Source organism: Homo sapiens, chromosome 10 (assembly GCF_000001405.40).
Source record: "Homo sapiens chromosome 10, GRCh38.p14 Primary Assembly".
Classification (NCBI taxonomy): Eukaryota; Metazoa; Chordata; class Mammalia; order Primates; family Hominidae; genus Homo; species Homo sapiens.
Window position 1 is genome coordinate 47,336,462 of NC_000010.11, and position 11,485 is coordinate 47,347,946.

General features: G+C 43.5%; 1 annotated feature.

Annotated features, from left to right (window-relative positions):
- Positions 6,069–6,731: an enhancer, noted in NCBI's record as "OCT4-NANOG hESC enhancer chr10:48396170-48396832 (GRCh37/hg19 assembly coordinates)". NCBI's record gives its function as "activates a minimal SCP1, AML or CMV promoter by ChIP-STARR-seq in primed H9 embryonic stem cells {active_cell/tissue: H9 hESC(primed)}" and the evidence as "EXISTENCE:reporter gene assay evidence [ECO:0000049][PMID:30033119]".

Below are 11,485 nucleotides of genomic sequence, written 5' to 3' on the forward strand. Positions count from 1 at the left end.
GCCAGGCAGCCACAGCCTCCCGAAGACAAGCCAAGTGCCCGCGGCTCTCAGGGAAAAGATCCTAATGCCTGTTTATTGCTGGAGTTCAGACACACGCATACGTCTGATGGGCTTAGGGGAAACAGCAGGAAGAAACACAAACAGAGAGGCCACGTCATGGAAGAACTTTCCTAAACGAGGATGGCACCCCACATTGCTGTGACTAAGAGTTCAGGCACAGTGAGAGGAGGAATGTATGCTTTAGAGAAACTCTAGTCATTCACACAATGTGTGTGTCTGCCATCAATGAGATGGTATTTTTTCCTGGAACCTACTTGGAGTTCTGAGAATTCAAGTGCTCCCTAAGCCTGGACTGTTCTCAGAACAGAGAGGCTTAATATGGGCATAAGAACGGAGTGCCTTGAGGAGCCAGCTTCCGGTCCAAGTGTCGTTTTTATCCTTGAGCTTCATGAGATGTCATTGACAAATAAAATTGCATATACTTACAGTATACGATGTGATGTTTGTGTATACACTGCAAAATGATTGAATCAAGCTAATTAACATATCCATCACCCTACATGCTTTGTGGTGAAAATGTTTAAGATCTACTCTCTTATGATTTTCAAGTATACAGTACAGCATTATTAACCACAGTCACTAGGCTACACAGAAGATTTCTGGAATTTATGTATCCTTTGTACCCTTTGACCAACATTTTCCCATTTCCCTTTCCTGACTCCTCGCCCAGCACGTGATAATCCAGTTTATGTTTAGACTGACTGTGCTTCTGGAGAAATCTTTTAACCTCTCCGAGCCTCAGATTCTTCTCCTAAAAAACGGCAACCATACTACCTGTGATGACTGATTTTATGTCAACTTGACTATCCGATGGTGCCAAACTGTTTGGTGCAGCACTAGTTGAGATGCTGCTGGGAAAGTATTTAGTGGATGTGATACACTTTTGCTACCAGTAGCCTGTACGTGAAGCAGATTATCCGCCATAATGTGGGTGGGTCTCATCTAATCAGTTCAAGGCCTGATGAGCAGTTTCCTGAGGAAGAAGCAATCAGCCTCAAGACTACAACAGAGAAACCCTGTCTGAGTTACCAGCCAGCTGCCTGCCCTGTCAAATTTGGTCTCAAGACTACAGCATCGACTCTTGCCTGAATTTGCAGTCTGCTGGGGCTTGCACAACAGATTTCAGACTTTCCAGCTCCCACAATCACATGAACCTATTATTTAAAATAAACATCTCCATTTTACATCTCCCCATAAGACTCCTTAAAGCGGGGATGTAAAAGGGAGATGTTTATTTTAAAGAATAGGCTCATGATATCTCTGGATTGTAATGATTAAATGAGAACATGGTGTACAACTGCATTTCCATATGCAAAAGAATAAATTTGCTTCCTTACCTCATAGCATAATCAAAACTTAACTCAAAATGGATCAAGGACCTAAAAATAAGAGCTAAAACTCTTAGAAGAAAACATAGGGGTAAGTCTTTATGAGCCTGGCTTTGGAAAAAGATTCCTAGATATGACATCAAGAGCAATGAAGGCAAAATTAGATAAACTGGACTTCATCAAAATGAAAACATTTTGTGCTTCAAAGGACATCTTCAAGAAAGTGAAAGATTAATCCACAGAGTGAGAGAGAATACTTGCTAATTACGTATATGATAGGGGACTTGAATCTAGCATATATAAAAAACTCTTACAACTCAATAATAAAATGATAAATAACCTAATTTTTAAAATAAGCAAATCATCTAAATAGACATTTCTGCAAGGAAGATACACAAATGGCCAATAAGCACATGAAAAGATGCCCAACTTCATTAGTCATCAGGCAGTGCAGATCAATGCTGTAATGAGATACCCCTTCACACCCACTGGGATGGCTATGATCAAAAAGTTGGATAATAATTGTTTTCAAGGTTGTGGAGAAATCAGAACTCACACATTGCTGGTGGGAGTGCAAAATTATACAGTCTCTTTGGAAAACTGGCAGTTCCTCAAAAAGTTAAACATAGAGTTACCATATGACCCAACAATCCCATGCCTAGGCATGTATCCAAGAGAAATGAAAATGTATGTTCACACAAAAACTTATACAGACATTTTTATAGCAGAATTATTCATAATAGCCAAAAGGTGGAAAAAAAACAAATTTGTATCAGTTAATGAATGAATAAACAAAATGTGGCATATGCATAGAATGGAATATTATTCAACCATAAAAAGGAGTGAACTTGAGTCCAGGAGGTGGAGACTGTAGTGAGCCATGGATGAACCTGCAACATTGATGAACCTTGAATACATTTTGCTAAATGAAATAAGCCAGTCACAAAAAGTCACATATTATACGATCCTATTCACGTGAAAAATTCCAGAACAGGAAAATCTATAGAAATCGAAAGTAGATGAGTAGTTTCTTAGAGCTGGGAGGCAGGGATGCGGGTGTGGATAGTGGGTAAGAGCTGAAGGTTACAGGGTTTTATTTTGAGGTGATGAAAATGTTCTAATATTATTGATTTTGGTAATGGTCATAAATTTCTGTGAATACTAAAAATCATTGAATTATATACTTTAAATGGGTGAATTGTATCTCAAGAAAATCATTTTAAAAAAAAGATTAAACGAGACAATCTTCATGACAGGGTACAAACAGAAGCGGTAAGTATTTTCCAAAGCCATTCTGCCTTTGTCCCAGCTACTTCTTCCCTTTTATGAGTCAAAGCATCTCCTCCAATTCCTCACTGTTAGGCTGTCCTCAGATGACAGAATCCAGGCTTTTCTTCTCAGAGACAGATCCACCGGTGGGGAAACAGATGCCCCTGTAGACCAAGTCCTCTCTGCAGCAAGGCTCAGGACACACAAGCCCAGGTTTCCAAAGCACAGGACTGTCAGGGCAGCGCCCGGCACAGGGCTTCGTGGATGTGGTGCTCCACTGAGATACCTACCTCAGCATCCCTGCTCAGCTTCTAGAAAGTGCCTAGGGTGCTGATGAAGGAGGACACTCAGGGAGGAAGATGACTCCTGTGAGTGCCTGCTAGGGACCTCCTTGCCTTAGACCACCCCGAGCCCCTGGACCAACATTCCCACTTCCTTGAATCAGTTCCACATCAGATACCTTAGGCAAGAGAGAGAGAAGGCTGCCTCCTGCTGCCTGGCCACACTTCGCACCCCCTGCTCCCTGCATACTCCGCCTTGCCCAGAAGTTGGTCCTCATGTTGAGCCCACATCCAGATGAGTGGACCCAGCCTCGCTCCCTGGACTTTAAGCCAGCCCTGGGCCCTGAGCCCTCCCTGCTCTCAGGCCTCCCCGGTGAACCCTGCTTCCCAAACCCTGCAATGTCCTGCTGTCAGATTCCCAAGGCTGTGTTCCACTAACGACTCCCAAGCCCCCTGTGTCATCCCACCTAATGGCCTGGATTCCTGAAGGGCGCCCGGGCTGCTCTGCCTGTTGGGTTCAGGCTTCACCCCTGCATCTGTCAGTGCGGGGTCCATCTCCTCCGTCTCCTCTAGACTAATGCCCTGCAGTTACTGGAGACACAGCCTTGCCACAGCCACAGGGGTCCTAGTCCCTGCTGGAGCCTCTCTCCCCACCCCACCTCCTGCCACAAGTCCGTGCCTGGGATTACGACACAAACAGGAACCAAAGCTCAGGGCAGTGTGTGTGGGATCCTCTCTCCCTTTAGCAGGTCCATGTCTCCTCAGCTCTGTGCTCTTGAGCAAGTTCTGTGCTCTCCCTGAGCCCCAGCTTTCTCATCCCCAAAGCAGAAGGAGCAGTGGCTTAGGAGAAATGGCCTGGGTGGGGAGTGATGAAGGCATCATCCATAAACACGGCACATGCCCTGCAGATTCAGACAGCAGGGACCCGACTCCGATCCTGGGTCGCTAGCCTTGTGGTCTTACCTTCCTGTTAAACAGTGTCATTCATGCATTCTCTCCAGATGCAAATTGCTTCCTCATTTCTTTGTGCAAATCAAGCCTTCCAAACAGCCTAAGGCCCCACCCTCCTGTGTTCAGTCTCTAGGATATCTCTGGCTGAAATGTACTCTGTCTGAAAACTTGAACTTCTGTCCTCACTGCACAGAAAAGGTGTCGCGCAGGGAAGGGCAGGACAGCCATGTGCTTCCGAGGGGCTTCCATCCTGCAGAGAAGGGGCTTCTATCCTTCCACCCAACCACTGTGTGGGTGATGAGCCCCTGGCTGATGGGAACTTGGTCACTATTCTGAACCCATTACACACCTCAGAACTCATCCAGGTTCAAAGGCCCTAGGCTCTGCTGCCTGACACACAGCACCCCCTGGAGGCAGCAGTGGGTAATGCACCCTCATGATTCCAGCTCCTGCTGGAATCACTGACATCAGGCAAGTGATGTCATCTTTGAGGCTGTGAATACTTTCTAATATAGATCATTAACAGCTGGAATAATCTATGTTCTGATACTTCAGTTATCGTTTTCCTCTGATGACACAAAACTGTGAAATGCTCAGTCGAAAAGTAGGAATAAGGTATAAGCCCAACCAGCCCTCCTTTCATGCTTAGCGCAATACTTCTCAGCCCCTCAAGTACTTGAAATAATATCAATTCCATACAAACTTTTCCCAGCAAATAGAAAGGGGGAGGAATAGGAAGAGAAAAAATTACTTTCCAACACTTTTATGAGGTAGACGTTACCTAGATACCAAAACCAAAAGAAAAGAAAACTTGAGAGCGATATTCCTTATAACCATGCAAAAGCCCTCAACAGAATACCAGTACATTAAATCCAGGAACATATTCAAAGGCTAATACATCATGAACAAGTGAGATTTAACCCATAAATGAGTGGCTGGTTCGAGATTAGAAAACCAGTCAATATGATTAACTATGTTAACAAACTAAAGAAGAAAAAACATCATGTTAGTAGATGCATCTGACGATATTCAAAACTCATTCACGATTTTTAAAAAATTCTCAAATTACTAGGAATAGAAAAGAATTTTCAACTGATAAAGGGCATCTACCAAAAAAAAATCTACAGCTAACTTTATATTTAATGGTAAACTGGATGTTTTCCCCCTAAGATCACGAACAAGGCACTGGAGACCCTAGCAAGAGCAATAAGGCAAGAGTAAAAAATAGCATCCTCGTGGCAGGCACCCGTAGTCCCAGCTACTCCGGAGGCTGAGGCAGGAGAATGGCGTGAACCCGGGAGGCGGAGCTTGCAGTGAGCCGAGATCACGCCACTGCACTCGAGCCTGGGCAACAGAGCGAGACTCTGTCTCAAAAAAAGAAGAAAAAAAAATAGCATCCTTAAGTTGTCAATCAAGAAATGCAACATGAACACCCCTTTAGAAAATTCCAAGGAATCTTCCAAATGTATACTAGAATAAATGAAGGAGTTTAGCAAGTTGTAAAATATATGATCAAAACATAATGAATAACTGGACATTAAAATTTAAAGAAAAAAGTGCCATTTACAATAGCACCAAAAAAAAAAAACCCCACAAAATACATGGGTATAAACCTAGCAAAATATTTGCATGATCTATATAGTGAAACCACACAACACTGATAAATAAATCAAAGAAGGCCTAAATAAGTAAAGAGATATAACGTATTCATGGGTTGGAAGACTCAGTATTGTTAAGAGGTAAATTGTCTGCAAACTCATCTATGCATTCAATTCAATCCCAATCAATAATCTGATTGTAAAGTCAATGATTTGAATCAAAAATGTATATGGATAATCAAAGGAACTAGAATAGCCAAAATAATTTTGATAAACAATAACAAAGTTGGTAGACTCAGATTACATAATTTCAAGACATATTATAAACTGTAGTAAACAAGAGAGTGTGATGTGGGTAGAAAACAGACAAATAGATGAACGCAGTGGAATAGACTGTGTAGAAATAGGCCCACACAGATGCGATCAATTGCTTTTTTATCAAGATGCCAATACAATTCGCTAGAACAAGGAAAGTCTTTTCAACAACTAGCGTGGGCTCAACTGGATATCTAATTAACTGAAAATACATCATAGACTCACGTGAAACCTAATACTGTAGAAATTCTAGAACAAAATACTAAAGGAAAGGTTTTGTGGCCTTGAGATCAGCAAAGATTTCTTAGCTGTGTCACTAAAAGCATGAATCGTAAAGGGAAAAAATGATAAATTTGGACTCATCAAAGAAAAACTTTCAATCTTCAAAAGACACAGTTGACAACATGAAAAGACAAGGCATGGACTAGAAGAAAATATTTGCAACACATATATCAGGCAAAAGTCTTACATCCAGAACATAAAAATAACTTTTACTTTATCAATAATAAGACAAACAACTGCCTCCCTTCCCCAACAAATGAGCAAAAGATTTGAACATCGATTTCACCATAGAAGACATACAAGTGGCCAATGAATACATAATAAGATGCTCAACGCCATTAATTGTTAAGCAAATACAAATTAAAATCACAATGAGATGCCACAACATACCTATTTGAATGGCTAAAATTTAACTGTCTCTCCTTACCAATTGTTGCCACTAATGTGGAGGAACTGGTAGTCTCTTGCTGCTGGTAGAAATTTAAATTTTGGAAAACAGTTGAGTCATTTCTTAAAATGTTAAATATACATTCCTATCCTAGGTATTATATTACTCCAGCAAAAAGAAAGACACACATCCACACGAAGACTTGCACTCAAATATCCATATCAGCTTTCTTTTTTTTTTTTTTTTAACAGTCGCGCTCTGTAGTCCAGGCTGGAGTGCAGTAGCACAATGTTGGCTCACTGCAACCTCTGCCTCCTGGGTTCAAGCAATTCTCCTGCCTCAGCCTCCCAAGTAGCTGGGATTACAGGCATCCGCCACCATGCCTAGCTAATTTTTGTATTCTTAGTAGAGACTGGGTTTCACCTTGTCTGTCAGGCTGGTCTCGAACTCCTGAACTCAGGTGATCTGCCCACCTCAGCCTCCCAAAGTGCTGGGATTACAGCCGAGAGCCACCACACCTGGCTCATGTCAGCTTTCTTTGTAATATTCATCACTGGAAGCAACCTGAAGGGCTATCGACAGGTGCATGGATAACAAATTGTGGTCCATCTGTGCAATGGAAGGCTACTCAGCAAACAAAATAAATGAACTATTGGTACACTCAACAATATGGGTGAATCCCACAATCATTATGCTGGGCAAAAGAAAACAGATAAAAAAAGGGTATCATTTCTTTTATAGCAAATTCTAGAAGCTACAAGCTAATCTATAGTGTTGGCAGCAAGTAAATCCATGTTTGTCTGGATATGGGAATGCAGAGGGGACTGGGGAGCAAAGGGGCACCAGGAAAACTTGAGGGCGACAGCAATATATGTTGCCCAGGTGGCGGTGAGAATTTCGGGGGGGTATGCATGTGTCAAAACTGACTAAATGATACACTTCAAATAGGTTCATTATATGTTAATTATACATCAATTAAGTAGTGAAAAAAGGACGTACTTATTAGATAATTTAAAAGGTACTGAAAAAATACAATACAGGAAACAAACAAGTGTATATGCCCTTTGACTCAGCAAGCCCAAGTTTGGGAATTTATCCACAAACAAAAAAGCACCTTAGGCCCTTAAGAACGCGTTTTCAAAAACATTTATCGCAATATCGCTGAAACAATATTGAAGTAAAAACAGAAAAAGCTTAAAATATGCCTCACAAAGGGTCAGTAAATCATCAAGAACTACTACAGGATGAGTATCCATTATCTGAAAGTTTTGGAGAAAGAAGTGTTTTAGATTTCAGATTCTTTTTGGATTTTGGAATATCTGTATGTACATAATGAGATATCCTGGGAGTGGGACTCTAGTCTAAACACAGTATTTATGCCTCATGTATGCCTTATACGCATAGCCTAAAGGTAACTATATCAATATTTTAAATAATTTTTTGCATGAAACAAAGTTGGTGTTAAGTACTTATGTGTGAAATTTTTCACTTGTGGTGTTGTGTCGGTGCTCAAAAAGTTTCAGGTTTTGGAGCATTTCAGATTTCAGATTTTTAGATTAGGGATCCCCAGACTACATGTAGCCATTAAAAGGATGAGTTTAATGAGTATACTTCAACTGGGAAGGATGTTTGTGTTGTATGTTTAAGTGAGTAAAACAAAATGCAAATTATCATCTATGCTAATAAACGGCTGACAATAGGATGGACAAATGGATGGGGTGCCCATAGATGTGTGGATGGATCTCTCCTATATGTGCACCTCCCTGCGTGTACACAGACACAGGTGACAATGGCTAGACATTCAATGCTGATTATTTGTTACTAAAGGAGGCTGGATTTTAAAAGCTTTGGAAAAGGTTTGTTTGCACATTTCTACAAAAATGAGTATGTTTTACTCCTCTGATTTAAGAAAAAAGTAAAATGAAAATACATAAAATGAATAAAAAGTCAAGGTTCAATTTGCTTTGAAGTGCATTTAAAAATGTGTTGGTTTGCAGGGGAGAGGAGGCTTGCAGGGTAGAAGAGGCTAGTGAGGCGGAGCTGAGATGAGAAAGGGGTAATAAAATGTCTGTGGTAGAATCTAGGGAGGCAGCCATTAAACTAAGGTGGCTCTAACGCCCTGATTTCCTACAAGAGCAAATTGAAATCTAACTCAGACTCATTTACTGTAAGCAGCTAATTTAAAAGAAACCGAAGCTTAAGTCCAGCCAACCACTGATGGCCAACTGGACATCAGTTGCATGGTCTCGAACTTTCCACTAGGATGTCCCAAATCATGCAAGGGCCGAAACGCTAAGCAACCAAAGCATCTGTAATATTTATTCCACTTCTGCCTTCACCCTGTGGAAGCCTCCCCTTGTGCTCCCTTGCAGAGCCCCAAACTGCCTCTTGTGGGGAGCTACCAGATTCATGAATCGCTATCTGCTCGGATAAGTTCTTTAAAATGTGAACATGTCAAAGCATTTCTTTAAATGATGGCATATAGATATTTGCTGTACCACTTGAACATTTCCATTATAAAACATCGAGGGGAAAACTAACATAAAACAATAGACAGACGAGGGCTTTGGCCACTGAAAAGACAACATCTGTGATGCAATAGGCAAGACGCTCCTTCCTGTACTGCCCAGCTCCGCTTGCTCCCTGACCATCCCTGCAGCAGCCCTGATGTGTCATTGTCCCCCTCTTAACCTGCGCTGCAGGTGCTGCAGGGCTGGGCTCTGGAGCCTGGGTCTGGTCATTTCTCCTTAGATATGTAGAGGCCCAGGAAAGGTTTGGAGCCTAAGAAGCCCTAGGACTCCAGGTCTCCAGGGCAGCCCCAGCCTCTTGGAATGACTTTCCCTAATACCACAGGGGTGTTCTAATCCCAGGCAGACCCAAGCTGCCCCTCACCAACTCCTACGTCCTCAACTTCCTTTCATAACTTCTAGGATGGAAACACCTAATCCTCCAGCAATACTGAGGCTTTTCTCCTTATTCTGTTTTCCCTTTTGAAGAAGCCAAGGCTCAGAGCAGTCGAGTCACCTAATCATGGTCTCATGTCGCCTGATCAAGGTCTCATGTCACCTTATCAAGATCTCACCCACTCACCTATTCAGTTCTCACCAGTTCAGTTCAGGATGGCTTCTAAGCTACCCTGCACAGCTCTGCCCACAGGACATTTGTATAAGTGAGGGGGTGCAGGGCCTTCCAGCCCCCTCCAACTCCAAAACTCAGCCCCCAAGATCAAGTGGACTCTCTGAACCCACCCTGGCCCTACAGTTGTCAGGGTCTGGATGGGAAGATGTAGAGCTCTCGGCTTTCACTCTGGGGACTTACCCAGAACATATTCTCCTCATGAGCTAAGGAGGCTGGCTGCCATCTTCCTACATCCCCCCACGGCCTGGGGGCAAGGACACCCTGGCCCCCTGGAGTCTGGAGAACTCTGAGGACAGAACTTGCTCTTCCACCTGCTTGGGCCTTACCCACAGGAGAAGCACTGCTTCTCTACCCATGCCCCATCCAACTCAGGCACCCCAGGGACTTGCAACAGTCTGATTTTTTCTCACGTCCTTCTTAAGGCTCTGGGCTAGCCACACAAATCAAATCCCAGTGATAGGTCCAGACAATCCTATCCTGAAACTACATCTTAGTAAGACTCCAGGGAATCCTTTCCCCAAAGACAGTCTTACTCCTGTTCTCCCCCAAGCCCTTTCTGGGCCAGAAGCTTTGCCTGGACTCAAGCAATGGCAGACAAGTGCCCTCTGAGGACACGGAAGTGCATGCTCAGAACTGTGATTCTCCAAGTGGAGGCAGAGGAGAAGGCCCAGGCTTCCCAGCAGGGCTAAGGATATGCAAGGAGTGCATTCATCCGGAGGTGTTGGCAGCATCCCAGCCCCACCCCATTCTCATCGTAAATCAGGCTCACTTCCATTGGCTGCATACGGTGGAGTGATGTGACCATATGTCACTTGAGCATTACACAAATCCTAATGAGCTAAAAATATGTTTGTTTTAGCTAATTGACCTCTTTGGCCTTCATAAAGCAGTTGGTAAACATCCTCAGATAATGATTTCCAAAGAGCAGATTGTGGGTCTCAGCTGTGTAGAGAAAGCCCACGTCCCTGAGACCACCTTCTCCAGCTGCCTACTGAGGCACACAGGGGCGCCTGCCTGCTGCCCGCTCAGCCAAGGCGGTGTTGCTGGAGCCAGCTTGGGACAGCTCTCCCAACGCTCTGCCCTGGCCTTGCGACCACTCTCTGGGCCGTAGTTGTCTGTCTGTTAAGTGAGGAAAGTGCCCATCTCCAGAGGCATTCAGCGGCAAAGCAGGGCTTCCAGGTTCCGACCCCATAGCAGGACTTCTTGGATTTCTACAGCCAGTCAGTTGCAAGCAGCACCCACATTATTTCTATAAGAAGTGGCAGGAGCTGGGATCTGAAGAGTTCAGCAGTCTACCTTTCCCTGTTTCTTGTGCTTTATGCAGTCAGGAGGAATGATCTGGATTCCATGTGAAGCCTGGGACCACGGAGACCCAAGACTTCCTGCTTGATTCTCCCTGCGAACTGCAGGCTGTGGGCTGAGCCTTCAAGAAGCAGGAGTCCCCTCTAGCCATTAACTCTCAGAGCTAACCTCATTTGAATGGGAACACTAGTCCTGTGATGTCTGGAAGGTGGGCGCCTCTACACTCCACACCCTACATGGTGGTCCAGACACATCATTCCCAGCATTAGAAAGCTGTAGGGGGACCCGTTCTGTTCCCTGGAGGCATTAAAGGGACATAGAAATAAATCTCAAGCTCTGAGGCTGATGCCAGCCTCAGACTCAGCCTCTGCACTGTATGGGCCAATTGTAGCCCCAAGGACTTCTTCTTGCTGCACCCCCTATCTGTCCACACCTAAAACGATGGGCTTCTATTAGTTACAGAACTCTCTGGCCTGTTTTGTTTTGCTTTGCTTTGTTTTGTTTTGTTTTTTTGTTTTTTTGTTTTTTAGCTATGAAACAGAGGTAATATCTAATACAGATAACTTACCAGTA